This window comes from Homo sapiens, chromosome 2, assembly GCF_000001405.40.
Source record: "Homo sapiens chromosome 2, GRCh38.p14 Primary Assembly".
Taxonomy (NCBI): domain Eukaryota; kingdom Metazoa; phylum Chordata; class Mammalia; order Primates; family Hominidae; genus Homo; species Homo sapiens.
The window spans coordinates 21020339-21047984 of NC_000002.12; the positions used below are offsets into that span (position 1 = coordinate 21020339).

General features: G+C 44.8%; 1 protein-coding gene across 1 annotated transcript in view, besides 38 other annotated features; it reads right to left on the reverse strand.

Moving 5' to 3' along the window:
- The window catches only part of APOB (apolipoprotein B), a 42645-nt gene extending 18910 nt beyond the window's left edge, over window positions 1-23735 (reverse strand). Inside the window, exons 1-18 of the mRNA NM_000384.3 lie at window positions 23526-23735; window positions 23175-23213; window positions 22023-22138; window positions 20600-20745; window positions 17620-17773; window positions 16762-16917; window positions 15246-15370; window positions 14478-14563; window positions 12961-13180; window positions 12016-12243; window positions 9560-9677; window positions 9301-9447; window positions 7989-8200; window positions 7490-7727; window positions 6450-6626; window positions 4595-4786; window positions 3187-3354; window positions 2493-2704 (exon numbers count right to left, since the gene is read on the reverse strand). Of these exons, the coding sequence (NP_000375.3) occupies window positions 2493-2704; window positions 3187-3354; window positions 4595-4786; window positions 6450-6626; window positions 7490-7727; window positions 7989-8200; window positions 9301-9447; window positions 9560-9677; window positions 12016-12243; window positions 12961-13180; window positions 14478-14563; window positions 15246-15370; window positions 16762-16917; window positions 17620-17773; window positions 20600-20745; window positions 22023-22138; window positions 23175-23213; window positions 23526-23607 (2816 nt within the window). The 5' untranslated portion in view covers window positions 23608-23735. The remainder of the gene's footprint in view (window positions 1-2492; window positions 2705-3186; window positions 3355-4594; window positions 4787-6449; window positions 6627-7489; window positions 7728-7988; window positions 8201-9300; window positions 9448-9559; window positions 9678-12015; window positions 12244-12960; window positions 13181-14477; window positions 14564-15245; window positions 15371-16761; window positions 16918-17619; window positions 17774-20599; window positions 20746-22022; window positions 22139-23174; window positions 23214-23525) is intronic.
- Window positions 20750-22674: an enhancer, noted in NCBI's record as "PvuII/EcoRI fragment (+1064 to 2977)". NCBI's record gives the evidence for it as "EXISTENCE:reporter gene assay evidence [ECO:0000049][PMID:1527004]".
- Window positions 20750-27646: part of a biological region, named in NCBI's record as "APOB 5' regulatory region", that runs on past the window's edge. NCBI's record gives its function as "regulatory_interactions: APOB | APOB-ICR".
- Window positions 20802-21702: a regulatory region, noted in NCBI's record as "micrococcal_nuclease_hypersensitive_site; MH VI, VII, VIII, IX, X; region with decreased nucleosome phasing; the nucleotide coordinates are approximate for this feature". NCBI's record gives the evidence for it as "EXISTENCE:in vivo cleavage assay evidence [ECO:0001075][PMID:1527004]".
- Window positions 21352-21371: a silencer, noted in NCBI's record as "BSIF-3". NCBI's record gives the evidence for it as "EXISTENCE:reporter gene assay evidence [ECO:0000049][PMID:8557677]".
- Window positions 21352-21371: a protein binding site, noted in NCBI's record as "BSIF-3". NCBI's record gives the evidence for it as "EXISTENCE:protein binding evidence [ECO:0000024][PMID:8557677]".
- Window positions 21607-23000: a DNaseI hypersensitive site, noted in NCBI's record as "DH I, II, II', III', III, IV, IV' and V; coincides with micrococcal nuclease hypersensitive sites MH I, II, III, IV and V; the nucleotide coordinates are approximate for this feature". NCBI's record gives the evidence for it as "EXISTENCE:in vivo cleavage assay evidence [ECO:0001075][PMID:1527004]".
- Window positions 21708-22190: an enhancer, noted in NCBI's record as "StyI/HaeIII fragment (+1542 to +2021)". NCBI's record gives the evidence for it as "EXISTENCE:reporter gene assay evidence [ECO:0000049][PMID:1527004]".
- Window positions 21753-21776: a silencer, noted in NCBI's record as "BSIF-1". NCBI's record gives the evidence for it as "EXISTENCE:reporter gene assay evidence [ECO:0000049][PMID:8557677]".
- Window positions 21753-21776: a protein binding site, noted in NCBI's record as "BSIF-1". NCBI's record gives the evidence for it as "EXISTENCE:protein binding evidence [ECO:0000024][PMID:8557677]".
- Window positions 21772-21929: an enhancer, noted in NCBI's record as "core enhancer (+1803 to +1958), including DNase I footprint regions A, B, and C". NCBI's record gives the evidence for it as "EXISTENCE:reporter gene assay evidence [ECO:0000049][PMID:1527004]".
- Window positions 22669-23117: an enhancer, noted in NCBI's record as "SmaI/PvuII 443 bp fragment (+621 to +1064)". NCBI's record gives its function as "enhancer in liver" and the evidence as "EXISTENCE:reporter gene assay evidence [ECO:0000049][PMID:2019605]" and "EXISTENCE:transgenic organism evidence [ECO:0001131][PMID:8139530]".
- Window positions 22795-22928: an enhancer, noted in NCBI's record as "core enhancer (+806 to +940); inferred from constructs Xba 7/1 and Xba 3/8". NCBI's record gives the evidence for it as "EXISTENCE:reporter gene assay evidence [ECO:0000049][PMID:2019605]".
- Window positions 22812-22865: a protein binding site, noted in NCBI's record as "TaqI probe fragment (+871 to +921)". NCBI's record gives the evidence for it as "EXISTENCE:protein binding evidence [ECO:0000024][PMID:1545795]".
- Window positions 22862-22896: a protein binding site, noted in NCBI's record as "PAL 35 oligo probe (+839 to +871)". NCBI's record gives the evidence for it as "EXISTENCE:protein binding evidence [ECO:0000024][PMID:2019605, PMID:1545795]".
- Window positions 23112-23393: an enhancer, noted in NCBI's record as "PvuII/SmaI 275 bp fragment (+346 to +621)". NCBI's record gives the evidence for it as "EXISTENCE:reporter gene assay evidence [ECO:0000049][PMID:2019605]".
- Window positions 23611-24636: a promoter, noted in NCBI's record as "PvuII 1 kb fragment; contains multiple negative and positive regulatory regions". NCBI's record gives the evidence for it as "EXISTENCE:reporter gene assay evidence [ECO:0000049][PMID:3336367, PMID:3165376, PMID:2501159]".
- Window positions 23614-23740: a transcriptional cis regulatory region, noted in NCBI's record as "+4 to +122". NCBI's record gives the evidence for it as "EXISTENCE:reporter gene assay evidence [ECO:0000049][PMID:2501159]".
- Window positions 23688-23698: a transcriptional cis regulatory region, noted in NCBI's record as "+43 to +53". NCBI's record gives its function as "positive regulator of transcription" and the evidence as "EXISTENCE:reporter gene assay evidence [ECO:0000049][PMID:7575618]".
- Window positions 23696-23726: a protein binding site, noted in NCBI's record as "BRF-3 site; probe sequence". NCBI's record gives the evidence for it as "EXISTENCE:protein binding evidence [ECO:0000024][PMID:10469141]".
- Window positions 23701-23721: a transcriptional cis regulatory region, noted in NCBI's record as "+20 to +40". NCBI's record gives its function as "negative regulator of transcription" and the evidence as "EXISTENCE:reporter gene assay evidence [ECO:0000049][PMID:7575618]".
- Window positions 23705-24734: a DNaseI hypersensitive site, noted in NCBI's record as "DH 1, 2, 3' and 3; coincides with micrococcal nuclease hypersensitive sites MH 2, 3, 4 and 5; the nucleotide coordinates are approximate for this feature". NCBI's record gives the evidence for it as "EXISTENCE:in vivo cleavage assay evidence [ECO:0001075][PMID:3336367]".
- Window positions 23764-23808: a response element, noted in NCBI's record as "QRE (quercetin response element)". NCBI's record gives its function as "responds to quercetin and antagonizes activation of transcription by C/EBP" and the evidence as "EXISTENCE:reporter gene assay evidence [ECO:0000049][PMID:25875015]".
- Window positions 23767-23787: a protein binding site, noted in NCBI's record as "element V region (-52 to -33)". NCBI's record gives the evidence for it as "EXISTENCE:protein binding evidence [ECO:0000024][PMID:1733959]".
- Window positions 23787-23806: a protein binding site, noted in NCBI's record as "element IV region (-72 to -52)". NCBI's record gives its function as "positive regulation of transcription" and the evidence as "EXISTENCE:protein binding evidence [ECO:0000024][PMID:1733959, PMID:2161847]".
- Window positions 23794-23819: a protein binding site, noted in NCBI's record as "oligo BL (-85 to -59); AF-1 site; methylation sensitive". NCBI's record gives its function as "positive regulation of transcription" and the evidence as "EXISTENCE:protein binding evidence [ECO:0000024][PMID:1639815, PMID:8344962]".
- Window positions 23796-23820: a protein binding site, noted in NCBI's record as "BA1 element III region (-86 to -62); methylation sensitive". NCBI's record gives its function as "negative regulation of transcription" and the evidence as "EXISTENCE:protein binding evidence [ECO:0000024][PMID:1639815]".
- Window positions 23822-23845: a protein binding site, noted in NCBI's record as "-111wt probe (-111 to -88); includes TGT3 and TGT4 sites and overlaps element II region". NCBI's record gives its function as "positive regulation of transcription" and the evidence as "EXISTENCE:protein binding evidence [ECO:0000024][PMID:8441395]".
- Window positions 23832-23852: a protein binding site, noted in NCBI's record as "element I region (-118 to -98)". NCBI's record gives the evidence for it as "EXISTENCE:protein binding evidence [ECO:0000024][PMID:1733959]".
- Window positions 23847-23875: a protein binding site, noted in NCBI's record as "-139/111 probe (-139 to -111)". NCBI's record gives its function as "positive regulation of transcription" and the evidence as "EXISTENCE:protein binding evidence [ECO:0000024][PMID:8557677]".
- Window positions 24161-24185: a silencer, noted in NCBI's record as "aBUSS (apoB upstream suppressor site) (-449 to -425)". NCBI's record gives the evidence for it as "EXISTENCE:reporter gene assay evidence [ECO:0000049][PMID:2039496]".
- Window positions 24631-26257: a matrix attachment site, noted in NCBI's record as "5' proximal MAR in HepG2 cells; EcoRV/PvuII fragment". NCBI's record gives its function as "associates with the nuclear matrix" and the evidence as "EXISTENCE:fractionation evidence [ECO:0000100][PMID:2592370]".
- Window positions 25531-25867: a silencer, noted in NCBI's record as "reducer, StyI/HindIII fragment (-2130 to -1802)". NCBI's record gives the evidence for it as "EXISTENCE:reporter gene assay evidence [ECO:0000049][PMID:1660893, PMID:1939218]".
- Window positions 25531-26953: a silencer, noted in NCBI's record as "reducer; SphI/HindIII fragment (-3211 to -1802)". NCBI's record gives the evidence for it as "EXISTENCE:reporter gene assay evidence [ECO:0000049][PMID:1660893, PMID:1939218]".
- Window positions 26206-26477: a silencer, noted in NCBI's record as "reducer, XbaI/MboI fragment (-2738 to -2470)". NCBI's record gives the evidence for it as "EXISTENCE:reporter gene assay evidence [ECO:0000049][PMID:1660893, PMID:1939218]".
- Window positions 26472-26806: a silencer, noted in NCBI's record as "reducer, MboI/XbaI fragment (-3067 to -2734)". NCBI's record gives the evidence for it as "EXISTENCE:reporter gene assay evidence [ECO:0000049][PMID:1660893, PMID:1939218, PMID:8441395]".
- Window positions 26517-26539: a silencer, noted in NCBI's record as "Red (-2801 to -2778)". NCBI's record gives the evidence for it as "EXISTENCE:reporter gene assay evidence [ECO:0000049][PMID:8441395]".
- Window positions 26517-26539: a protein binding site, noted in NCBI's record as "Red (-2801 to -2778)". NCBI's record gives its function as "antagonizes transcriptional activation by forkhead box A" and the evidence as "EXISTENCE:protein binding evidence [ECO:0000024][PMID:8441395]".
- Window positions 26811-27347: an enhancer, noted in NCBI's record as "OCT4-NANOG hESC enhancer chr2:21270021-21270557 (GRCh37/hg19 assembly coordinates)". NCBI's record gives its function as "activates a minimal SCP1, AML or CMV promoter by ChIP-STARR-seq in primed H9 embryonic stem cells {active_cell/tissue: H9 hESC(primed)}" and the evidence as "EXISTENCE:reporter gene assay evidence [ECO:0000049][PMID:30033119]".

The following is a 27646-nucleotide window of genomic DNA, read 5'->3' on the forward strand; positions in this document are numbered from 1 at the left end:
CCTGTGCCCCTCCCCTATGCTCCTTTCTTTCTTTTCTTGCTTTCTCATCTTCCTCACCATCAAGAGTTGTCTGCCTTTGCAGTCTCTACTTCCTCCCAATGTGCTCTGACTGCTCACTCCATCTCCTGAAAATGCTTTCATCAATGTCTCTAATGCCCTCCTTGCTCCTACATCCAATGGGCATATTTAGGTTTCATCTTCCTTGACCTCCCAGAAGCCTTCCATAGAGTTGCGCACTCATGACCAGACTAAGACGCTGGAGCCTCTCACATCTGAAGAGATGATGGCACCTTCCTTCCAAGTGTGTACTTAAAAACTTAGTACATGTAAGAAAGTTCAACATTGGCCTGGTTTTTTCTAAGGATGCTTTCTTTGAAATAGCACATTTTCCTCCAAGTATTGTTTCTCCAAGTTGGGGGTGCCACAAGACCAAGCTTTGCTGATGTGCTGGAGTCCTAATGCCAGCTTTCGCCTACCCATGGGGTGATCTCCCCTGTGGCTGCTCTTTGGCTTCTGTGACCTTTTATGGCTTTGGTTCTCCTTCTGCTTCTCTGGTCACTTCTTCTAACTCATTGCTGGTTATTCCCCTTCTTCCTTTATATGTTTGTCTTCTCCATATTTCTGTCCTCATCTCTCATGTCTCACTCTATACCAGTTGCTGTTTAACCACAACAACCTCTGTATACTAATGATTCCCAAATCCATATGTGGAGCCCAAGCCTCTTTACTGGGCTCAGATCCATAGGTCTATTTGACAGCTAGATTTCTAAACTGGTTGTTTCATAGGAGGACATCAAATACAGCACATCCAAAACTGAATTTGTCACTTTCCTTGAAACCAGAAGCTCTCCCACTGTAGTTCTTATTAAAATGAAGGGCGCCTCCTTCCTCTTTTCTTCTTTCTTTTGCCTTGTCCCCATACCCAGTTAATCACCCAGTACTTATGATTCTGCCTCTTAGAAAGTTGTAGAATCTGCTCACTCCTTTCTATACCTGGCTTTTCTCCACTGCAGGCCATTATCAGCTCTTAGCCACATAGGATCGTAAGAGATGTCCAATGGTCTCTTCGTGTCCAGCTGTGCCTCCTTCTCACCCATCTTCCACACTAGAGTCAGAGTATTTCTTCTAAAACATCACCCCTATCTTATTTCTGCTCCCCTTTTCAACTCCTGTGCCTTCAAAAGAGTCCAAACTCCTTAGGATGGCTTTCGCAGCTGGGCATGCTCTCTCCCCTGCCTACCTCTCCCCATCATCTCTGAGCCCCTTACCATTCTGCACTTCTTCCAGTTCCTTGAACCATATTCCTTTACCTTCAGGCCATTACATGCTTTTCCTTTTGCCTGGAACACTCACTCCTTTCTCCTTTGCCTAAATGACTCTGACACAGTCCTCAGTTATCAGGTCAAGTACACTTGCTTCAGAATGCATTCCCTGACTAGCACAGGCTACATGATATAAAATTTCATGGTACTCTAATACTTTCTATAACTTAGCCCTTACTCTATGATTACTGCTTGCTTAATTGTGTGTCTCCCTTATAAAATGTAAGCGTTCAAAGGTCAGGGACCTTGTGTGTCTCACTCAACATACGTGGTATATATTAGGCAATTAAATATACTATTTTTTGTTTTTTGTGAGACAGGATCTTGCTCTGTCTCCCAGGCTGGAGTGCAGTGGTGCAAGCATGGTTCACTGAAGGCTTGAACTCTTGGGCTCAGTTGATCCTCCCATCTCAGCCTTCTGAGTAGCTGGAGCTACAGGCATGTGCCACCACGACTGGCTAATTTTGTTATTTATTTAATTTTTTTTGTAGAGATGGGGTTTTGCCATGTTGCCCAGGCTGGTATCCAAACACCAGGGCTCAAGCGATCCATCCACCTGGGGCTCCCAAAGTGCTAGGATTACAGGCATGAACCACCGTGGCTGGCCAATTAAATATTATTTTTGAATGAACACATGAATGTGTCTAAAATATGAAAACTAAGGCAAATCAATGGTTGAGGGTGCCACTTAAAATGGAACTCTCCAAAAGAGGCTGTATTCCATTATCACGAGGTTAGGAGTTTCATGCTTTACCTACCTAGCTACCTCAAATCAATATGTTCTTAGGTATTTTTTGGGGGGGAAAATATTAATTTTCCAAAGATGATCTCTCCAGAGCTATTGTTTCTTCATTCTCAAAACAAATAGATAACAAAAAATCACAACTTAATAAAAACTAATTAAGCAGTAGGTCTTAATAAGTCTCAAAGCAGAAAGATAAAGGACAGTTTAGTAAAATGTGAAAAGTAGAAGAAAGGTAATTATGTAGTTATGTAGTAAGTCTAGGCTAGAATTAAAATAGGTAACCCGGAATCTTTCCTTTCTACTCCTCTCCTGCTTCCTCAGGACCTGAATGATCTCAATCAACTGTTTAGCCTGGCAAAATTCTGCAGGTACATTCTCTGTTCTCTCTTTCAAACTGGCTAGGCAGACTTGGCTGAAAGAATTACCCTCCACTGAGCAGCTTGACTGGTCTCTTTGGGGAAGGAATGATAAACTTCAGCTTCCCAGCTTTTAGGGCAACATGAGCCTCCAGACCCGACTCGTGGAAGAAGTTGGTGTTCATCTGGACCCCACTCCTAGCGAAGTCCGGAATGATGATGCCCATATTTGTCACAAACTCCACAGACACGGAGGGTTTTGCCACCAGTTCAGCCTGCATCTATAAGTCAGAAAACAACCTATTCAGATTCATTAAATACTTCAGTCCCCTGTCAGTCAGATCAACCACCCTTTCTCACCTCCGGGCAAAGATTTCCTGGATAACTCAGACCTTTGGAAACATTACTGGGATTTGTTTGGAAGAAGGAAAGCGAGTTCTCAGTTCTCTAGAGTTGGAGTATACTACCCAGAACTAGAAAGCACCTGAGTTAACGTGAGGCAAAACCAGATTAAAAAGATGATAGGAATACTCATTTGTTGAGAGAACTGAGTTCTTGTCTTATGGCCATACCACTACTGGAGCTAGTGAGGTAGTGCATTCTGGTGGAAGCTTGAAGTTTTTCATAAAAAAATAATGAGGTGATTACAATGATGAAGCATTTTGTCTTGAAGTGGAAACACATTTTTAAATATGTTTTAACAAGAAATGCACCCTGGAAGAAAGTAATAACCTAAGAAATCAAAAGGCAAACAGAATCTTACGTTGGCTACTTCCAGTTTTACTCCAGCCTTGGCTCCGGGAGCAATGACTCCAGATGAAGATATTTGCAACTGTAATCCAGCTCCAGTGGGGAGTTCAAAGGCATTCTCCATGAAGATGTAGTGAAGAAAAAAGTCATTCTTTGAGCCCTTCCTGATGACCTCTCCAATCTGTAGACCCAACAAGGGAGAGCAAATAAAAGTAAGTCTTTTTAAAGTCGGTTTTGTTAATTACAACCTCCCATACATTGGAGAGTAATTCCTCTTTATCTGGAAAGGAAGGACTAGCATATTTTGATGAGCTGAATAGTTTGATAAATAAAGATCAAACTGATGTTTTTACCGTTTTCAGTGAATCAGGATATAAGAAATTTCACTAGATAGATATCATGTCATTTTCAAGTGGACTCAGAAGGCTCTTAAGAATATTGCTGGGCCTCAGAGCTTTATGGACTTTAAGTATCATATATGCCATGGCTTAATTCTGGTGTTCTGGAGTCTGACTGTAAGTGAAGGTGTACTTGAAATGTATTATATTATGATAAAATCAATTTTTTGAAACCAAAGGCCTATTGAGATGATGTACATATCAATTTGCATTGGGTTTTATTTTTTAAATAATATTTCAATAAAATAGCTTGAGACCTGTTTTCTTAAAGTCAACATTTTTTTAATCAAGCCATAGGAGTACATTTATATATTTCCTTTTATGAATTAATAATAAAAATTATAGCATATTTAGATAGTGAATTATAGTTTGCCAAATACTTTCTTTTATAATCATTGTATCATTTCAATCTTAAAAGGACCTTCAGGTCAGGTGCAGTGGCTCACACCTGTTATTCCAGCACTGTGGGAGGCCCAGGCTGGAGGATCACTTGAGGTCAGGAGTTCGAAACCAGCCTGACATGGTTGTCAACAGGCTTGTCTCTACTAAAGATACACAAATTAGCCGGGCATGCTGGTGCACGTCCACAGTCCCAGCTACTTGGGAGGCTGAGGCAGGAGAATTGCTTGAACCCGGAAGGCAGAGTTGCAGTGAGCCGAGATTGTATCACTGCACTCCAGCCTGGGAGCAAGACTCCATCTCAAAAAATTAAAAAAATAAAAATAAAAATAAAAGGACCTTCAGCAAAGGTAGAGGAAGGTATACCGAACATTGTTTTCCAGATGAATAAATTAATGCTCTTAAAAATACAGCTAACATTATGAATAGCTTAATTTCTAAATGTTAACATTTCCATGTGATCCAAGAGTCATCTTCAGTGAAATTCAAGGCAAACCTCCATCTCTGAAGAAAGTACAAGCATCTTTTCGGGCTTGTGCAGCTGGGATCGTAAGGGAGTCTGGGCGATCTAAAAAAAAACCAACGTCTGGTCTCATGGGCCCCCAGTGGGGCCTGCTGACTTACCATCTGGGGGATCCCCTGCAGAGTGCGGGCACCCATCAGAAGCAGCTTTCCCAGGAGCTGGAGGTCATGGAGACTGGCAAAACCAAGCTCCTCTCCCAAGATGCGGAGGTAGGCTCTGGCTTCCGGGACTTCTTTGGATTTCAAATCTTTAATCAGCTTCTCAACACTGAGCATTATTCCATTTACCATATCCTGAGAGTTTAGTAATAAAATGGCCAGTGAGATGTCAGCAATGTCAAACACCTTTCAGTTCCCAATGTGGGACCTGTCTGATGCAGCCAGGATGGGCCTAAAAAATGCTCCAGGTGAGGAACAGGGAGACACTGAAGTCCAGGCTAATTCCTCTAAGCAGAGATTAAAGAACTAAGGTCTTGTCAGGGATAGTGGCACTCCTAAAGCTATTCTTAATTAAAAAATCTGTAGACATAGTAAGATGTGGTGGGATGAGAGGAGGGGTCCCTATTCTCCAGTATGCCAGGATCCTCAAGATTAGAAGATCCTCTATCCCCCACCCGTTCCCTGCTTAGCCTTCTCTTCTTTGACCAGTGAAGACTACAAGGTGTTTCTTAAGAAAATGTAGCTGTTATATAAATTCACCAGAAGTTTGAAAAACACTTGATCCTAGACAAGTTCTTCTCAGAGAGAAGAAGAATCTCAGAGATGGATGCCCAGGCATTGGGAAAAAAAAAATGTGAAACTGACAGACTCAAAGCAGATCAAAGATCCTCGGCCTCAAGTGGGGGTCAGGAAATTAGAAGATGGAGCTCGTGCTCAACAGTGAGCCTGGAGGGGTAAATTACTGCCTTGCTCTGCAAAGTTGAATGTGCATACAAGTCACATGAGGTCTTGCTAAAATGCGCTTCTGATTCAGTAGATTGTGGGTGAAGCATGAGAAGCTGTATTTCTGACCAGACCACACTTTGGGTAGCAAAAAATTCAAGAATAAGCTCCAGATCATACAACCTATTTCCCTCCTTAAATGGGGGCTCATTGCTAGCTTCAAAGTGGAAGTTTGGTCTCATTTGCTAGTGCACTGATGGGAGTGAGAGCCAAAGACAGCAGTTAATAATAATGAAAATATTAATTTAGAACTCGTAATAGTGTCTGCTTATTGAACAACCAATGCCAGCATCAGGCACTGTGCTTGGCATTTTAGATGCCTTATTTCATTGTCTTTAAATAACCTTGTGAGGTTTGGACTGTTATTAGTAGTCTGGGATACAGACAGAAACAGATACACATAATATCAACCAACTTCCCCAAGTGCGCACAGCTTCAAGACAGGGAAGTTAGAATTAAATCTATGCCCAGAGTTCATACTTTTTTTTTTTTTAAGATACAGTCTCACACTGTCACCCGGGCTGGAGTGTAACGGCGTGATCTCGGCTCACTGCAACCTCCACCTCCCGGGTTCAAGCAATTCTCCTGTCTCAGCCTCCCGAGTAGCTAGGATTACAGGCACCCACTACCATGCCCAGCTAGTTTTTTTGTATTTTTAGTAGAGACGGGGTTTCAGTATGTTGGCCAGGCTGGTCTCAAATTCCTGACCTTGTGATCTGCCCACCTTGGCCTCCCAAAGTGCTGGGATTACAGGCATGAACCACCACACCCAGCCCAGAGTTCATACTCTTGTTATCCTAGAGTACTTATTGTGAGTCTGGTTTCTGGGCACACTGAATTCAGGAGATCTTTAACTGCAGAGGATACTGGCCCTTACCCCAGCAGGTCTGGTTGATAAAAACCATAGTTATCCCTTCAGTTAGATAGTATTTTGAGGACTTCCATGCTTAGAAAAGAATTGTTTTTGCATTGAGACCCAAAGCTTTCCTTAAGAAGATACTTCACAAATACACACCTGCTCATGTTTATCATCTTTGGTATAGCCAAAGTGGTCCACTAAGACCTTAGAGACACCATCAGGAACTTGACCATTAACCCAGTACAAAGCTTTGTTGACACTGTCTGGGAAAAATCCTTGCTTCCCAAAAAGAGCTTCCAATGTTGGCTCAAAGCCTTTTCCTTCCAAGCCAATCTGAGAAAGAAAATCAGACAAGAAAATGGCATCAGGTTTCTTTGTTGTATGCCAGCCTAGTAGTCCCCACTCTTGATGTCCATTTATCTAAACAAGTATTTGAATACCACAGGCCAGGAGCTGACCTTAGCATTTCACAGGAGCTGCTTTATTAAAATCTCACTAGAATCTTGACCTTATTACTTGCTTTTTTCTAGAAGAGGCAGCTAAGGTTCAGATAGGACAAATAATTCAACAAAGGATTCAGAGTTGGGAGTGATTTGAGATTTGAAGCAGATCTGACTAGGCAGCACATATGCTTCCTTGGCTTTGGGACTTAAAGACGAGACATTTGCATTTCAATTTTTTTTTTTTTTTTTTTTTTTGAGATGGAGTCTTGCTCTGTCGCCCAGGCTGGAGCGCAGTGGCGCAATCTCTCGGCTCACTGCAAGCTCAGCCTCCTGGGTTCACGCCATTCTCCTGCCTCATCCTCCCAAGTAGCTGGGACTACAGGTGCCTGCCACCACGCCCGGCTAATTTTTTGTATTTTTAGTAGAGATGGGCTTTCACCGTGTTAGCCAGGATGGTGTCGATATCCTGACCTCATGATCCACCCGCCTCGGCCTCCCAAAGTGCTGGGATTACAGGAGTGAGCCACCTCGCCAGGCCTGCATTTCTATTAATGTTAAGAAGTCATGCTTCAGGTGACCCCTAGCGGGGAGAGAGGAAGGCGGGGAAGGAGGGAAAGAAGAAAGCCTCAGAATCATGGTAGGAAGTGCCTGGTGGTTCTTAGTTTTCCTCTGGGTAGCTCCTGGCTCCCAGGGACTCTCTGTTTATGATGCTGTACAAAATGGGCTAGAGAACCTCAAACTCTTCACACTTACCTCGATGAGGTCAGCTGAAGCAAATCCAAAGGCAGTGAGGGTAGTTTTCAGCATGCTTTCTTTAGGAAGGTAGTTATTTGGATCAAATATAAGATTCCCTTCTATTTTGGCTGAGGCTGGGTCAAGTGATGGAAGAGAAACAGATTTGTAGAGTTGATAGTTCCGAGAGAATTTTCTGAAGTCCATGACAGTTGGAAGTTGAGATTCTTTCAGAGCTTCTTTCACTAACTTTTTCAGACTAGATAAGAAGAAGTATATTTTGAGCTGACACACCATGTTATTATCCTTTGACTCTTGCACCCCAAGTAAATATGGATTTCCAATCACTACCAAAATGTCTTGATTTCATTGACCCTAAGTCTTTGGGTCTAGATCTGCTACACATTTGCACAAGTGTTTGTTTCAGAAGCAAGGGCAGACAGTGGCTATGCCAAAACCTAGGGTTGGAATTCCAGCTCAGGGCCCTCAGTGGTATATGGGGTGAATAGCTCTTACTTACTCTTGGATATCCAATTCTTCTGAGTTCAAGATATTGGCAATATGGGAAGCCACAAAGTTCTTCACTTGCTCATTCTGTTCCCATGGTAGAATTTGGACAATTTTGTTAATATCTGCCTGTGAAGGACTCCTCATCAACATAAGATAGGCAGCCAGTCGCTTATCTCCCGGAGAAGCATCATCAAGGAAAGTCTGAAGAAGAACCTCCTGGTCCTGCAGTCAAAAGAGGAGATGGTTATCACTGTCCTGTGGTCAGAACACAGAACATGCCTGGCAAACACTGGCATTGTCTGCTAGCTCTTTCTTAAGCACAGGTCTAATTTCTCTGTAATCGTTCTTCAAATGCTGGTATTGAATCTTCTTGCCAGTGTTTCCTAGAGCACTATCAAGTAAGGGTTCCCAGAAAAAGCCTGTGGAATGCCTGTTGAATTCAATTCCATTAAAACACATAAATTATGGCCAAGTTGTGATTTGTTTGGAGATCCACCACTAAGTGAAAATCAAGTTGTTTTAACGTAAGTTATTTTAATGTGAGGATAAAGATGAGAAGGGGTAGTAAGAGTTTGGGGCTAATAAATAGGGTAGTTTCCAAAGTTCTGGAGTCTTTGCACCTAAGAGGGGGCCAAGTTGGCTATCCTAGCCTAAGCTTATTGGGGGAAAATTAAGCATGTTTTTCCATGATGAGAGGGATGGTCAATCTGGTAGGTGGACGGTAGGAAGCAAAAACATCTCACGTTCTGCATGTTGACATAGCAGCAAAGTCAAGTATTTCTCTCACGTCACATACTGCTAGGCAGTCAAGTCAATAGGCTTGTTGAAATTTGCAATTAGAAAACAGTAGAGGCCAGGTGCAGTGGCTCACGCCTGTAATCCCAGCACTTTGCAAGGCTGAGGCAGGCGGATCACCTGAGGTCAGGAGCTCAAGACCAGCCTGGCCAACATGGCAAAACTCCATCTCTACTAAAAAATACAAAAATTAGCTGGGTGTAATGGCACATGCCTGTAATCCCAGTTACTCAGGAGGCTGAGGCAGAGAGAATTGCTTGAACCCAGGAGGCAGAAGTTGCAGTGAGCCGAGATCATGCCACTGCACTCCAGCCTGGGCAATAGAGTGAGATTCCATCTCGAAAGAAGGAAGGAAGGAAGGAAAGAAGAAAGGGAGGGAGGGAGGAAGGAAGGAAGGAAGGAAGGAAGGAAAGGAAAGAAACAGCAGAATAAAGTCAGTAGATGAAATCTAGAGTCTCATTCCCCTAGTACCTTCCAAATCCTTGTTAATAAACTTTCACTTTCAGACCTCTTCTTGTGGACTTTACCTTGTCTTTAGGCTCCATTTTCCGCAGAGCCTGGATGGCAGCTTTCTGGATCATCAGTGATGGCTTTGTACTTTGGACACATTTCAGGATTGAAGACTTGAGTTCTGGAGTTAACTGCTCCATGGTTTGGCCCATATTTCCAATGACCTGCATTGAAGAAAAGAAACAAGAACCCATCAGGGTGCAGGAGAGGGAAGTAAAAGGTGTCCAGGAAAAGTGCTTCTGAAATGATGTATGTCATATAAAAGACTGAGATTACCCGCAGAATCAAATAGGTGTAATCTTCATCCCCAGTGCAGTCATCTTGAATCTGTTCCATCAGGTAATTAGCAATGTCCAGCAGCTCCTGGGTCCCTGTAGGGTTTGTCTTATGATAGCTACAGAATAAGAGAAGAGAGTCAGGACTTGGTAACCCCAGTTAGGTTTGTCTTAAAACCCAAACTTGTGAATTAGAAAAAATAATTATAAAATTCATATGGAATCCAAAAAGAGCCTGAATAGCTGAAGCAATTTTAAGCAAAAAGAACATAGCTGGAGGCATCACATTACCTGACTTCAGATTATACAACAAGGCTATAGTAATCTAAACAGCATGGTACTGGCATAAAAATAGACACATAGATCAATGGAACAGAATACTGAACCCAGAAATAAAGTCACATACTTACAGTCAACGGATCTTTGACAAAATTGACAAAAACATACACTAGGGAAAGGACACCCTTTTCAATAAGTGGTGCTGGGAAAGATGGATTGCCATATGCAGAAGAATAAAACTGGACTCCTATCTGTCACCATATAAAAAAATCAACTCAAGATGGATCAAAGACTTAAATATAAGACCTGAGACTATAAAAATGCAAGAAGAAAACCTAGGGAAAACTTCTCTGGACATTGGCCTAGACAAAGAATTCGTGAATAAGACCTCAAAGGCAAAGACAACAAAAACAAAAAATAGACAAATAGAACTTAATTAAAGTAAAAAGTTTCTGCACAGTAAAACAAATAATCAACAGGGTGGTAACCTGCAGAATGGGAGAAAATATTTGCAAACTATTCATCCAATGGGGTACTAATATCCGGAATGTACAAGCAATTCAAACAACTCAACAAAAAAATCCCCCAAATAATCCCATTAAAAAGTAGGCAAAGGACATGAATAGACATTTTTTTCAAAAGAAGACATACAAATGGCAATAGGCATATGAAAAAATGCATAACATTACTAATCATTAGAGAAATGTAAATTAAAACCACAATGAGATAACATCTTACAAGAGTCAGGAGGGCCATTATTCAAAAGACAAAAAATAACAGTTGTTGGTGAGGATACAGAGAAAAGGAAACAGTTAATCACTGTTGATGGGATTGTAAATAAGTACAACCACTATGGAAAACAATACAGAGATTTCTCAAAGAACTAAAAATAGAACTACCAATAAATCCAACAATCCCATTACTGGGTATATACCTAAAGGAAAAGAAATCATTATATCCAAAGGAAACCTGCACCCATATGTTTATCACAGCACTATTCACAATAGCAAAGACATGGAATCAACCTAAGTGTCTATCAATGGACGATTGGATTAAAAATGTGAAATGTATAGGCAATAAAATACTATTCGGCCATAAAAAGAATAAAATCATGTCATTTGCAGCAACATGGATGGAACTGGAGGTCATTGTCTTAAGTGAAACAGGACAGTCACAGAAAGACAAATATTGCGTGTTGTCATTTATAAGTGGGAGTGAAATAATGTGCACACAAGGACATAGTGTGTGGAATGATAGACAATTGAGACTCAGAAGGTGTGGAAGTGGAGGGAGATGGATGGTGAGAAATTACTTAGTGGGTACACTATATGTTGTCTGGGTGATGGATACCCTGAAAGCCCTGACTTAACTACTGCACAATCTATTCATGTAACAAAATTACACTTGTTCCACATAAATTTATATAAAAATGTAAAAAAGAAAAAGCCAAAAAATTTCATCAAAGGAAAAACCTGCTAGCCTGAGCAACATGGTGAAACCCTGTATCTACCAAGAATACAAAAATTAGCCAGGGCATGGTAGCATGCACCTGTGGTCCCAGCTACTCAGGAGGCTGAGGTGGGAGGATCACTTCAGCCCAGGAATTTGAGGCTTCAGTGAGCCGTGACTGCATCACTGCACTCCAGCCTGGGTGACACAGTGAGACCATCTCAAAAAAACAACAACAACAAAAAAAAACAAAACAAACAAACAAAAAAATTCAGAGGAAAAAACTGCTAACTAATATTGAACTGAAGTTAATAATATGCAAGCTGTAATACTTAGGGGAAAGTGTGTTGATGTTTGCAATTTACTTTGAAATGCTTCAGAAAATAAGATGAATTAATGGATGGATGTATATGTGATAAAGCAAATATAATAACACTTAAATAGTAGGAGATAGCTGGTTTTCTAGGGGTTTTCCCTGTGAAATTCTGTCAACTTTGCTATGTTCAAAAACTTTTATAATATAATGTAGAGAAAATATTTTTAAAAATTCAATTTGTGTTTGCTGATTTCTTATTTCAAGTCATTACCCCAAAAATGATCAAGAAAAAACACAAGAGTAAGGAGCAGAGTTTGAAAGTGGAAGGAGGGGTTCAGTTTTAATACAGAGATGCACAGAGGTGCAAGATGTTCCTCTGCTCCTAGGAGGAGAAATACAGTGTGGAAACTCACTTGTTGACCGCGTGGCTCAGCGCATACAAGGTGGCTCGGCTGCGCTGATCCCTCGCCATGTTGAAGATCTCTCGCAGCTGCTGTGCTGAGGGCTCGGGGATCAGGGCCACCAGGTAGGTGACCACATCTATCAGAAGGGGGTTGGCATGCACACGTTTCAGCCACTGGAGGATGTGAGTGGAGCACTGAGGCTGTCCACACTGAACCAAGGCTTGTAAAGTGATGGGGCTGAGAAGAAAGACATGGATAAAGTTATACAGACCACCTTCAGGGCACATAAAATATTGCTCATGGTGTGTCCTCTGCCAGGAGAGCCCTTAATCACCTCATTCACTATTCAAATCTAACTTCAAAACCCAACTTGGAGCTCAGAACCATGATGCTTTCCTTAGGAATATTACCCACAGAAGAAGCCCAATCGAGAAAAGTTCCAAGAGGGGACTGTGGATCTGTAGCAACAAGAAGACTGTTATCACAGTCCTTTGGCCAGCACACAGAATATGCCTGGCCAACATTAGCTGGGTCTCATTCCTGGCCTCAGTCCCTTCTCTCACCTTCATAGCACTTAAAGCCAGTGCCTTGAAGGGTAGAGAAATCATATTATATTTTTCGTCTGAGTTCTCTCTCCACCAGCCTATAAGCTTCTGGAGAGCACCTGCAATAGACCTAGGAATTAAAAGTTACCCATCAAAATGTGGGAACTATTCTCCTTCTGTTTTAACACACAAATACATAGCTGCCTTGAACACAGTATGCGCGTGTGTGTTTCATGGAACTCAGCGCAGCAGCTGATAGTTCTCTATCCAGCAATCATGAACTGATTGACTAATTGATTAACTGGATTGATATCCAAATGGTCCCTGAGATTCTCCATTTGGCCAAGGTTTGAAAGTTCAGTCAGTTACCATCAGTTTTATAAAAAGTTGAGCTGTAACCATTAGATACCTGGACACCTCAATCAGCTGTGGCAAGAGAGATGTGACTGCTTCATCACTGAGGCCTCTCAGCTCAGTAACCAGCTTATTGAAGAGATTAGCTCTCTGGATATTTTGCTCAGAGATGGTTAGTTTTTTCAGTTCCTGGAGAGTCTTCAAAACAGCTTCGGCCTGCTTTGGAGGTGATGTGGATTTGGTGCTCTCAAATGCGAGGCCCATCTTCTTAGTACCTGGAAGATGGAAAGTGTCAAAGGAACTCTAGCTTTCTTCATCTCAACCATATCTTTGTCTACTGGAAGCTGGAAATTGTGGAGTATCAGCACAGGGGAAAAGGGAAAGAAACTATCCTGTATTCAATGCCTGCTAGATCTGGCTCTGCCATAGGTGATTGACTTGTTTTCACTGACTCATCATCCTATCCCTGTGGGGTGGCATTATTGTTCAATTTAATGATAAATTCAGCCCTGCTTCTGAGACCCACAGAGTTTTTGGGCCATGTAAATTGCTCATCCCTGGATCTCAGCTCTGAGTCCCAGAGATGAGACAAAGAGATGAGACCCAGAGATGAGGAAGTGTGACCCAGAGATGAGCAACTTAGGTTTCCCAAGAGCTCTCAGGGTCTAAGAGGTAGAGCTAAAGTGGAATCCAGACTTGTCTGAGTCTATCATCAGGTTACCCTTAGCTTGAAATAATTGGTGAGGAGGTGCTACTGTTGACATGGTTACAACTGGGACCAGGCACATGGGTGCTTATCACCATTTCTTCTAATTGGGTCTACCAGCAGCTTGTGGGGAGGGGAGACACTTTTGTATCCTCTCCACCACCTACTGTGACCTATGCCAGGAAGAGAGGTAAAAGTCATCATGGAAATGTGGTGTAATGAGAATAGTCCTGGCTTAGATTACAACCTGGCACTTATTTTCCCCCCTCTAATATTCTGCGGCCTTGACTACATCAAACTCTAAGCCTCTCTGTGTCACTGTCTCCTCTGTAGAATAGGTATAAAATCACATCTCTACCACCTGACATCACAGGTTGCTATGAGCAAAAAGGACAATGAGGTAATGTACAAGAAGGAATTTGGACAGATATAAATACAATACAATACTGGGTAAGGGTTGGACTTGAGATTGTTAGAGTTCCTTCTACCTCTAAAGACTGACTCCTGAGGTTACTATCTGGCCAGACTCTGAAGGTTCTCTCCCACTTGGTCCACCTCGTCTGGGACAGCTCTGGATCTTATCACAGGATGGGTGATGTCAGTTCTATCAAATATGTCATGTTAAACTTAGGATTCCAGTTTTCTATTTACAAATGCCTAAGTAGCTTTGGGAACTTCTTTTCCTTTATGCCATTGCAACTTGACATCATGAAATGAGTTTGCTTTCTCACTAGAGGTAGCCAGAACACCAGTGTCTGTATCACTTGTTAGTCAGCAGACATTTAACAGGGCTCAGCAAGTGGCTAAGCCATGATAGGCACATCTTGAGTAGATTTTCCAGCAACTATGTGGACAGAAACTCTTACCTTCACCAAAGAAGCGGCTGTTGATCTTTGGTGTGTCTTCAAGTTTCAAAGTCTGTGTCACTTGTGCTACCATCCCATACTTATTCCTGGTAACCAAGGAAGCACACCATGTCACGGATGGCCAGAACATACTATTCTTTCCATGTTGAAGGTTTTCCCTGTCTCTGCATCTACCCAAGTCCTGCCCATCTTTCAAAGCATGGGTAAATCCAGCCATTGTTGGCCCTGAATGAATAACATCCACCTCTTCCTGGTCACGCTAGTTATCCTCCCATCAAAAAGACATGCGTGCCTTATACTCTCCACTAGTCTGGAGTGGCCAGAGGTAGGAACTAGTGCAATGTCTCAAAATTCTTTCGTATCTTCCACAACATAGAGCCAAGAATATGGCAGTTACTCAATATATATTCATTGATTATCAGTTTTCAAAGTGGATTTGGATACACAAGTTTCCAGTCAGTATCCCAAATCTTCCATGAAACCTTTTCTAACCAGGGTACCCTGCAGTGATCCTCAGGTTTTCTGGATCTACAGCCCTTAAAGAATGGGTCTTAGATATCTTTTGTTGGTCTTGGATTGTTTTGCATGCCTAGGACTTTTCTGCCAAATGGCCTGTTCGCTTAAAAAGGGGGACAGGGAGGGGCGGCATTTTATCCCTCTCCATTCCTCCCTCCCAGGCACAGGTTTGCCTGGAACAGAGCACTTGAGAAGTGTTCAGTTCACACTGACCCATTAAATGACAAATCAGGGGTGCATCACATGACCTACTTGTAGGAGAAAGGCAGGAAGAGGTGTTGCTCCTTGCAGATGGCTTCTGCCACATGCTTCCTCTTAGCGTCCAGTGTGTACTGACAGGACTGGCTGCTGCTGATCAGAGTTGACAAGGGGCGGGTCTATGAAAGAGATTGGAGACGAGCATTTTGATCAGTCCCTGTATCTTCTGTTAAAAGCATTTACCTTCAAGGTAGAAGGGAGCAGGAGTCCTGTACCACTAGATAAACTCAGAGAAAGAAGATAACTGGGTACTTGACATTTAGACCAGGGGGTGCAACAAGTCGGCATCCCCAAAGCTGAGTCAAGCTGTAGACTCCTCTTTTTCCACCCTCACTGGACAATGTCTAAACTTTGTATCCTCCACATGCCCATCCCACCACATAGCCCCTCACACACCTGCTCAGTAACTTTTCTTTGCCCAAAAGCCCATTCTTACATGTCTCTTTCATTTACATATTCTTTGCATTTTTTGGGTTCCTGCTCCACATCTTCCATGAAATGTTGCCCGCTGAGCTACATGAATAATTCTTTCTCCTTCCTGGTCAGGCCCAGGACTTCTTGTCTGCACTGTTCAGCTTATCACCTTATTGAGTATACCACGTATACTTTATTGACCTGGCTCCTGCATTAGACTGGAAGCATCCTGAGGGGAAGGTCCATGGTTCATCTGCCACTGTCCCTTCCTTGGTGCTGCCCAGAGTGGGGTTGAGCAAACAGCAGATGCTCAGAAAAGACCCCTAAGCCAGTGCATTATCCTCTTCTGACTGTGGCACTCATGGTCATCAGACTCCCTGTTTTCAACCCTAAGGACAATGACCAGGAACAGCGCCCAGCATGACAGTGATTGCCCAAGTTATTCATGTTCACTGAGACAGGCTGGGGCTCATATCAGGGAAGATGTTGCAGGGGTCAGGCAGGCTCAGGTAATATGGTGCTCCATGGCCCCAGTTAACAGAGAGGAGAGGGTGCTCCAGGCCGGTGGCAGTGGGGCCATGTTTGGTCAGGGTGGTACTGGGGGTGGAAGGACAAGAAGCTGGAGCACTCTAAGTCACTCCACTTCATGGGATGAGGGAGAGGGGGAGAACACAGGTCTTGGGACTTCTTCAAAGGCCAGAGGCTTGGAGCTGGCACAAGGAGTCCTTGTGCAGAAAAGAACAGAAGGTGGTTTTGCTGCCCTACATCCATCCCCGGAACCTTCTCAGAGGTGAGTAGTCATTACTCTCAAGTGATGAGATTAGAGGCAGTTTGGTGCCAGTGACAGAAGGACAGGAGGAAAGACAGAGCTCTGGGCTGGGAGGGAGGAGCCTGACTCAAGCCTTGGCTCAACTGATCCCAGGCCGTGAAGCCTGGGCAGACCTTCCCGTGCCTGCTCAGGGTCCTATCTCTAGTCTGTATAAAAAACAGCCAGGGCAGGCTGTCCTCAAAGGTGCCCACTAGCTCAAAAGTTCTGGAATTGTATTAATAAGAGGATGCTCCTTGCTGTGCACGACAGTGCTGACATGGGACTTACCATGCCTTTGATGAGAGCAAGTGGGCTGATGCCTGTGCGGATGGGCTTGAAGCGATCACACTGCCCCAGGTCTCTTTCAGTGGATATTTCTGTTGCCACATTGCCCTTCCTCGTCTTGACGGTAAAGTGAGTGGAGCAGTTTCCATACACGGTATCCTATGGAGGAAGAAGATGCAACCACATGTATTCAACACGGGCAACATCCTTGGGTACTTGGGAGGGATGGGGTGGGGATCGTGAAAGAAAAAGCAGAAGGAATCTAGCTTTGGGAGGGACTTTCTTTTTCTTCCTATGCAGAGTGTGGTCTTGCTAGTGCCTGGCCAGCCCAAGTTGGGAGAGAGAAAACCAGTTAAAGGTGGGTCTGCAGAAAGGCCTCCGCAGGTTGCATCGGTGTCTTCTCCCATTATGGTGTCGTAGAGAAATTAGAACACACAAAAGTGCTCATGGGACTGAGGTGAAATGAATTCTGTCTCACAGTGAAACCTGAAATTCGTAAAAGAGACCAGCAACAGATCCCATTATTTTTGGTGTTTAAAATACACACAGGATTTACTGTGTACACCATAACCCAGCAAACACAGGTGAAGCATCAAACAAAAGCAGGGGTGGGGTGGCCAGGACTCCTCAATGACTGTTTTAAAATTAGACCCAACCTGATAAGCCTGCTTGGGATGATCTGTCAGTGAGCCTAAGGGGCAGGAGGAACCTCGGGCACCAGTATTTCACGCCAATCCAGGGCTTCCTATGTAACTAGTCATGGAGCTGACTCAGTGATCTGCTTTGTATATGGTAGGACTGGTCTCTAACACATGAAGATGAGTTTCAAGGGCCACTGCTATCAGCTTTCTAAATCCTCACCAGAAACAACACTTGCTTGGCTTCTTCTGTCTCTGGGGGAACCAGGAGGGCAGAAATGATGCCCCTCTTGATGTTCAGGATGTAAGTAGGTTCATCTTTCTCCGGGTAAAGGAAAACCTGCTTCCCTTCTGGAATGGCCAGCTTGAGCTCATACCTGTCCCAGAGAGAGGATGGTCACGGAAATGTCCTTCTCCATTACAACTTGCTGGAAGTAAGCTGGGTGGCACTGAAGTTTCTTTTCTCATATTTTTTTAACCAATTGTTCTTCTGACATCATTTATTTGTAAATATAGAATATAGCTACACATAGACATACATTTTCAAAAAAGTATGCACATATACATAAGTTTTGGTGATTCTTTTTTTTTCTTTTTTTCTTTTTTCTTTTTCTTTTTTTGAAATGGAGTCTCGCTCGGTCGCCCGGGCTGGAGTGCAATGGCGCAACCTCAGCTCACTGCAACCTCCACCTCCTGGGATCAAGTGATTCTCCTGCCTCAGCCTCCGGAGTAGCTAGGACTACTGGCATGTGCCATCACACCCAGCTAATTTTTGTATTTTTAGTAGAGACAGTTTTCACCATGTTGGCCAGGCTGGTCTCAAACTCCTGACCTCAGGTGATTCTCCCTCCTCGGCCTCCCAAAGTGCTGGGACTACAGGCATGAGCCACCAGGTCCAGCTGTGTTTTAACTTTTTTTGCTTGGCTCATCCAGCCCTGCTCTGTTCTCCACCCATATCAGTCTCTTTGCCCATCCTCCCCATACGGACACCCGAGTGGTTGTTCCATTTGTTTCTGCACACTCATACAATCCTCTGTAAACATGGGTGAGTGCAAACAGAGTCATACAAAGATTTTGCCATTGTTTGTTTTATACAAGTGGCATTGTATTATGCATACTTTTATCTTGTTTTTCTCACTTAATTATACTTCACAAAAATCCTTCTGAGTCACTTGGTACAGCTCTAACAGATTTTTTTAAAAGCTGCATGCAGAACATTCCATTCCATGGCTAAATATAATTTATTCACACATTGCCCCATTTGATGGCATTTGCCCTCTCTCTTTCTGGATTTTTTTTAAACCACACAAACAATACCAAAACAAACATCCTTATGTGCCTATCTTCACACATTACTGCTTTTATTTTCATGGGCTAGAGTCCCAAAGACTAAAATATCTGTGTCAAAGGGTATTAAGTATTTTAAATTACAGTAGATATTGCCTGATGGCTCTCGTTTCCACCAGCAGCTCAGGACAGCACACTTTTCCTCACTGGCCTGCCAGCAACAGGTGCTATCACTGTTTTCCAGTTTTGCAGTATGATGGGTAAAAGCAGATAAATATCTTGTTGTTACATTAATTCGCATTTCTTGACTACCAGTGAATTGGAGCTTATTTTCATACACTTGTTGGACAGTCATTCTTTTGTATGGTGTCAGGCCATGGCTGAAGCCCATGCTGACTTTGGTCTTAGGGATTTCCCACTGGGTACTCTCTGAGTTTCTGAGGACCTGGCTGCAGCCACTCTGGTTACATCAGGAGGAAAAGGTGACGGACTTATCTCCCACAGCCTACACTCTCTCAGAAAGTTCCCAACACGAAGAAATGATAAATGTTTGAGATGATGGGTATGCTAATTACTCTGATCTGATCACCATACATTACATGTATCAAAATATCACTATGTTCTCAATAAATATGTATAATTATTGTATGTCAATTTTTAAAAAAGACAGTTAAAGTCATGAAGATGCAAACATGGAAAGCCCTCCTTTTCAAGAACAGGAGTCTCTTCTGTATTTGGAGAAGACCAAGGACCAAAAAATAAACCACTCTTTCCTCCTGCCACCATACCCCTCTCCCTCATATACAGTTAAGTCTTGGAGAAAATAAAGCATAGGAAAGAAAGAAGCCTCACAGCCTATTTTGGCAAGAAAGGACTGGCATCTGAATCTAATGTTTAGCAAAACTGAAAAATGGGCAAGGATGGTGATATGGTTTGGCTCTGCGTCCCCACCCAAATTTCGTCTCGTAGCTCTCATAATTCCCACGTGTTGTGGGAGGGACCCGGGGGGAGGTGATTGAATCATGGGGGCAGGTCTTTCCCGTGCTGTTCTCGTGATTGCAGATGGGTGTCGGGAGATCTGATGGTTCTAAAAACAGGAGTTTCTCTGCACAAGCTCTCTTTGCCAGCCACCATCTACATAAGATGTGACTTGCTGTCCCTCACCTTCCGCCATGATTGTGAGACCTCCCCAGCCACGTGGAACTGTGAGTCCAATAAACCTTTCTTTTGTAAATTGCCCAGTCTCAGGTATGTCTTTATCAGCAGCATGAAAACAGACTAATACAGACAGAGTTTTCTGATGCTACCAAGTTAACAACTCTATCCTGCCTGTATTCATACACACCTAGGACCCTACAAACTGTGATTGAGGATGAGGCAGGGGTGATGTTGAAAATATTTACAATGGGTGCGACATGGGCCCTGACCAGTCAGCAGAGATGCAGCTGCAGTGGCCGATCAGCGTGCAGTGGCTGAATGCCAGCCTAGGAGGGGGAGCCACCGAAGCCTTGGTGCTCCTCTGCCCTGCGGTGAACAGACCCTGCCCCGCCATGTGCCGGCCACAGCAGCCAGTGCCTCTGGGACCCCACACCAAAGACCACCAAGCACTAGTCTTGACTAGTTCTTTAAATAAGAATTCACTTGTTTAAACAAAGCATCTCAGTTTTATAATCTCAAGAAGTTTAAAGCATGAGATTTTTAGAAACACATGAAAATGATAATTAAAGGAACCTAACTAGGGAAGGTTAACTAATGCTTCTCTCTTTTTGATGATTGTGAAAACTCAGTAATTCCCTGATCCACGATGGATACGGAATACAAATACTTACAGTCACATCCGTGCCTGGTGCAAACACACAAGTTCATACCTCAGCGGACACACACACATGCGTGTGCTCATGTACAACATGACTTACCTGGACATGGCTGCAGCAAACTCCTCAGAGTTCTTGGTTTTCTTCAGCAAGGCTTTGCCCTCAGGGTTGAAGCCATACACCTCTTTCAGGGTGCACTGGCTGGTCTTCAGGATGAAGCTGCAGAGCTGGGGAACCTCCAGCTCAACCTGAGAATTCAGGGTAGCAGAGCATTGAGGTTGTCTATCAAGAATGAGAGGTGGCCCCTGAAGCCCAGGGCTTAATCTCTAATCAGAGCACCAAAGGGAATGGTGCTGGGAACACCACTGCCTGCGCCTCAACACCACATGCCTTATCAACATGCCTCCTGGGTTCTCTGTGCACCAACCTAGACTTAGTCCTATTGCTGACGTTTTCCCCCTCCCGGGTAACACATTTCTTAAGTTTGCCCCTAGGCATGGGAAGGAGGATGTCCTTTTATTGGTTCTAAAGTTACTCACTTTAATTATAAAGAGCTGTGGTTAAATAGAAGCGCTGCAGACTAGGAGTGAAAGTGAAGAAGAAAAACAGAAAGCAGGAAGAGGGCCATCCTTCGTTTCCACAGCAAATGTCTCCTTAATGTCACCCAAAAAACTGGTTATATCTATTAGGGCCTATTTAGAGCTTTGCATATAGCTGGAGTTTCAACGGATTCCTACTTATTATCCAGCACTATTCAAATAACTTTATAGAAATGTTGTACATGTGTGCTGTTCAATATGGGAGCCAGTAGCCAGGGTGGCTGTTGAGCAGTTGAAATGCAGCTAATGTGACAACGAATATGAATTTTTAATTTCATTCCATTTAAATAGCCCAATGTGGCTCATGTCTACCATATTGGACAGCACATACAAGAGCTACGGTACTCTCTAAAAAAAGGTGACTGCTCAGCTTGACTTCTCTTCCCCACCCAAACCCCAATAGCAGCCTGTAGATCTGCTCCACATGTATGTAACATGAGTACAACCAGTCTCAATAATAAGCAAAGTTTTATTTTAGAACAAACTGTATGTTTATATTTTTTTCTTCTTTCCATTCATTTTTCAGCAACAGATTCTGTTTGACTTAAATTATAAAAACTGCATTTCACAGTGCGATTCCGAGTTGCCTGCCTCCCATAGCTCACCTACTGGGCCTCTCTCACGCTGAAATCTACAGACCCACACTGCTGCTAATCTAGATCATGGATTCCTATTGCATCTGGGAAGTTAACGGGAAAATACTTCTGACTTGCGAAATTTGGTGGGGGCAGACCACATCTCAGCAATGTGGCTGACTTACAAACAGAGGCAAAGTCCCAGTGCTTTGATCAGATTACAACAGTTCTGGGATGTTCTGCGTTTGCTCAGTACACACCCTCCGGGAAGGTCGCGTGTTGGGCGCCCGCTGGAACAGGGCTGGGGGAAAGCTGTGGGCTCTAGGTCCCTCCTGCCTGCATCCTCCATACCTTGCAGTTGATCCTGGTGGCACTTCTTGAATCAGCAGTCCCAGGGACTCCACTGGAACTCTCAGCCTCATAGTTGTATGTGTACTTCCGGAGGTGCTTGAATCGGGTCGCATCTTCTAACGTGGGGAGAAATACGTCAGCCACATAGCAGAAATAGCTCTCCCAAGGACAGCCAATTCTGGGCAGAGAGGGGCAGTGGCATAGAGAATTAAAAATGGTAATTCAACTCAAATTATTTTTTAATTGACTTTATACTTAATTTTCCTTTATAGATTTGACTTCTCCATTATGTTTTTGCTGAGGCTAATGTTTAAATTGGCTGGCATGTCTTGAATATCTCATCTGAGGCACAGGGAAGGGAGTGACAAGTGTCAAGTAATGGGGCTCAGAAAATCTGCATGAGAGACCCTCTGGCAAATTAAGAGATGACAACATTACGCAAATAGTACTATCTCTAATGCTTTTTTAGCTTGAACACGCCGTAATTCCGTGACTCTAAGACTACCAAATACTTAAGGCAAAGTTCATTAAGCATTAAGCGTAACTAACTTAACAAACTCCTAGAAAAGAATTTCTGGAGGTTTCCACTGTAGTTGAGAGGAATTTTCTGAACAATTGAAGAAAAAGAACATCTGGGTCCTGAGTCCAGCTGCAGTGATGACAGACGGCCACTAGATGGCGGTGCTGCCCCATCAGAAGTCCGCCCCGCGGCTCCAGCACACAGGGTCGCGCTTGGAGGCCAGTTCCTTTAACCCCCAGGGGTCAGGTAAATAGGAAGGGGGTGGAGGTTCGATTTCTTCACAAAGGTTAAAGTCAGTATTTCCTCACCCTCACATGCTTCGAATCAATGACTAGTCACTGATAAACAGGACAGTGATGTTTCTTCAAAGTGTGCACAGGCCAGCGGAGAGACAATCCCTTCCCTCCCCCGCCCCCAGGCTGAACTTTTGGGACAGAACAGAAGGCCAGGTAGAAGAGAGTTGGCATCCCTTGGGTGTGGGCAGAGGCTCAGGGAACTTGCTTCCTGGGGTCAGAGCAAGGCACACCACGATGCCATCTCAGCCCTGTAGAGTGGGAGGCCCTCAGGGACCCGGGTGTAGGAGAGTGCACGGGGCTGGGCGCCCTTCCACGCCCCATGCGCAGATGCCTTACTTGGACAGACCAGGCTGACATTTTCCAGCATTTCCTCTTCTGTAAGACAGGAGAAAGAAATCTGTGAGCTTCCCACGTCTTCCCAGCGGGTGCTAGGGCCCGACAGGGGGACCACCGGCACAGGTTTCACCTTTCAGGAGGGAGGCAGGCTCCGGAGACCCCCTCCTCAGCCCCTCCATCCCGCGCCCCCCATCCTGAGCCTGCAGGGGCCGCCAGCTGGTCCAATCCCCCCACTCGCCCTGGACCCTGTGGCTGCCCTCCCTCTGGCCTAGGCCCAGGCTGCCCCGGCCAACCTCGTGCCGCCGGCTCCCTCCCGCTCCCTCTGCGCCCGCAGAGCGGCCGCGCACTCACCGGCCCTGGCGCCCGCCAGCAGCAGCAGCAGCAGCGCAGGCAGCGCCAGCAGCGCCAGCAGCGCGGGCCTCGGCGGGTCCATCGCCAGCTGCGGTGGGGCGGCTCCTGGGCTGCGGCCTGGCCTCGGCCTCGCGGCCCTGGCTGGCTGGGCGGGCTCCTCAGCGGCAGCAACCGAGAAGGGCACTCAGCCCCGCAGGTCCCGGTGGGAATGCGCGGCCGGCGCCCGCACCCCATTTATAGGAAGCCCAGGCTGCAAGAGCGCCAGGATTGCAAAAGGTCCAAAGGGCGCCTCCCGGGCCTGACCTGTTTGCTTTTCTACACTGGCTTCTCTTTGAGCCTTGAAGAGCCTCGGGGAGGGGGCCCACCTGGGATGCAGCCGCAGCCACCAGGGGCTGGGTCCCAGGTGGGTTCCCTTCCCCAAGCGTCTTCAGTGCTCTGGCGCGGCCCTTCCTGTGTCTCAGTGGGGCCATGGCCAGCGCCTCAGGGTCTGAGAAGCCTGCCCTGACCAGGGGTGCCTTCTTCAGATGACCCACCATGGGGACAAAATCTCTGCTTCTCCTGGACTGAATTGGGAGCCACGAGGAGAACCAGTCCTGAGCGCTGTCTTGGTGGAGACGTGTTCCCATCGGTTACTTCTTTTCCATTTTGGTGGACCTTGGATTTGCACCCACACCCTAATCCTGATCAGAATCTGTGGCTGCGGGGTTCAGCCCGTGCTGGGGGAGGAGAGAGAAGGGGGATGCAGGGAGGTCTGGTGAGTGACCAGTCACTGCCCCTGAGGATGGGTGGCCTGCCTGGTCCCAGCAGGAGTCCAAGTATCTGTCTTCAAGAAACCCCAGCGAGGAGAGGCCTCTGGGGAAGAGCAACCTCCGAGGGCGCACCCCTCTTGTGCAAAGTGTTCTTGGGTTGTTGAGAGGAGGATTTCCTGCACCAGCTTCTAGGTTTCCTCCAGTGGTGGGGAGGCGGACGAGGAAAAGCAGAGTAGTGGACAGGACACGTCATGTTCCTCATAGACATCTGGAACCTTCTCATGCATCGTTTCCTTCTCTTCTAGGCACTGCCCATTTCCCACCGGAAGCTTCAGCCAGCGCTCGCTGCCTCTGCCCAGCTGGAGGGAATCAGCGGTAGTGGAATTTCAGGGACACTCGGTTTACTAACCCAGGATCACTCAGAAGGGGTTATTGATGGGATGGCACTATGATGAGCTGAGTGAATGTCTGAGCCTGGCTGTGTCCCCAAGGCACCTCCACTCTGGTTAGGGAGACAAGCTGTGTACGCAGGAAACCGCTAGTGAGCAATTGTGGTAGGATAGAGGGGGCGACAACCAGGTAGGTATAACTGCTGGGGGACCACCCAGGAAGGCGAGTGGGAGGCGGCCAGGAGCAAGCCGGTAGAGTGCGGATGGGAAGTGGACAGCGCCTGTTGCAGAAGTCAGTGTGTGCTCATTGTTACAACTTGTCAGCTTTGTTTGAATTATGAGATAACCCCAGATGTAACAAGCTACTGGTGAAGACTGATGATTCCAGAAGGATCAATTCTGAAACAGTAACTATGTATAAAGACCCAGTTCCCTCAGAGGAGACTCACAGAAAGACCTTCGCCTGCTTCCTGCACCTGGGCTCCACACCTGTCCTTATTCAGATATTGTCATTAGCCATGAACTCCTATGGGCAGCTAAACTCCCTCCAGTGATCAGTTGCTCATCCACAGCATATTAATGTTATTAAAGATGGATATTACAGAGGTCTCAACTCAAGGCTGGTCATACCTACACCACTGATTTGTGAAAGGTCTGGAAAAAGTAATTGCTCTGAAACCCCATTTCTCTGAACACTTTATTTGAATTATTCTATGTGGACTGACTTTCCACAGGGTTCGCTGCTGCTAGTGTTTGAGGAAATGGTCCTGCTTCCATGCATATTCACATTAAGGAGAGTGAGTAAGAATATTCAGGTATAGAGAAGCCAAAAGGAGGTGTCGAGCTTTAATTTACAAGCACAAGTCCAAGCTTACTCTGTTACGTGCAGATGAAACCAGGGTCCAATGGTCAGCATCCATAGAGAATATATACATATATATATATATTTTTTTTTTTAATTTATTTATTTGAGATGGAGTCTCCCTCTGTCACCCAGGCTGGAGTGTAGTGGTACAATCTCGGCTCACTGCAACCTCTGCCTCCCGGGTTTAAGCGATTCTCCTGCCTTAGCCTCCCAAGTAACTGAGATAACAGGTGAGTGCCACTATGCCCAGCTAATTTTTGTATTTTTAGTAGAGACGGTGTTTCACCATGTTGATCAGGCTGGTCTTGAACTCCTGACCTCATGATCTGCCCGCCTTGGCCTCCCAAAGTGCTGGGAGAATGTAATTTTTATGAAGTAGGAATCAAAAATGAATTTGATGACTTGGAGGCAGGGAAACATTGTGAGATGCTTGGAGGTGGTGAGAGGACTGTCACCATCTCTAAAGGAAGAAACCTAAGACTCAGCTTCCCTCTTTTCCTGATGGTCTTTGGCAAGTCTTCCCTGAACTGGGCCCCAGCCAGCAGTAGTTATCCCCTGACAGGGTCTAGCACAACCCCACAGAGCAAATGTTGAATTGTTGAGCTGACTTGCGTACACTCACGGAAATGCTGTAAAGATTAGTGCATAGATTTTTCTTCAATTACAAAATCCACTTAGATCCTTTGTCAAAGACTACATGGAAATACATTACTTGTGACCAAAGATATCACCCTTCATCCCTTTTCCTTTAGATAGAGACACATTCTGGTGTCACACAGATTAATCTCAGCTAGTGACTGTGACTTATCAGCTCATAAATGCAAAGTCCTGTTGGGTGCACCATCAATCTGGGTAGTCATAGGGCTCTGGGTACCCATTAGAAAGCCACCTGACTAGAGGAATTTCAAGGCGATAGATAATGCTGAATGTCCCAGTTACATTATCTAGAAGCAAAACTATCCATTGTGCCTATCTGCAGCCGACCAGAAGGGTCTTGGCCAAGTTCAGGGAATCATGGAAGCTAATAAAGGACCCCAGCAGACCAATATTCTGAGTTTAGTGCTGTTCACATACTGAAGTAGGTGCTTAGAACATAATTTGCTGAATATGAATGAATGAATCTGCACCATTCAGCTATACCCCATTTTCCAGGATATTTATGCATAGCGACCGTGATGCTTAAATAAATATTTCCAGTGACATAAAGCAAGGAAATACAGTCTATACCAATTATTCCCAGCCATGCTGCTCCAAAATCTCATCTGGCAAATAGGGATCAGTATTGACAACGATTAATTAGCCTATCTCGTTTCTGCCTATGACAGCATTATAATTGCAAATGATGCCCAGAAGCTGGAAAGTAAACTTCAAACATTGTAGATGGAACTGTGCCCAGGGTGGCCTGTTTACCCAGTGACAGCATGCATGTGTGAGCACGTGCACACACACACACACACACACACACACACAAATGAGAACTATCAGGAAAGAAATGGCACATTTAGGTGAATGGTTCAGGAGGAAGATGATAGGGTGAGCCATTGTCAACCAAATGTAGGCATTCCAGATGGATGATTAACCCCTGCGAGAAGCAAAAAGAAACTTTCCTTCTCCATCATTCTGCTACCCAAGAGATAAGGTCAGAATGTTGAGTCGCAGTTCCTCCCGGGAGAGAAGCCAGAAGTCAGCAGGGTTCAATGTGCAGTGAGGAGCTGCGTAAGTGAATTATCACCCTCTTGCCTATGTGGATGTCATCCTTCCACCCACCCAGGGCTGGCTGCAGCCCCACCTACTGCACTGAATCTTTCTCTGGGAACAGCCCAGTTAGACTTCATAGCTTGTGACTCTGATTCCCTGTCATTCAGTTTCTAGGTAGGACAACGATGATGAAAGGCCTTCATACAAACCTGTTGTTGTCCTGAATACATTTTTCTCTTATAGCATTATTTGATTTTTCATGTGTTTACCTGTTGCCTTGCCAATGGGAGAGAGAAGCTGGGAGAGCAAGAACCATGTGTAGTTCACAGATTGGTACCCCTTGTCCTCTCTTCCTCACTGACACCCTTGCTAGGCCAGGCAGATGGTAGTCAAGCAGTAAACACTGTGATTATAATGTAA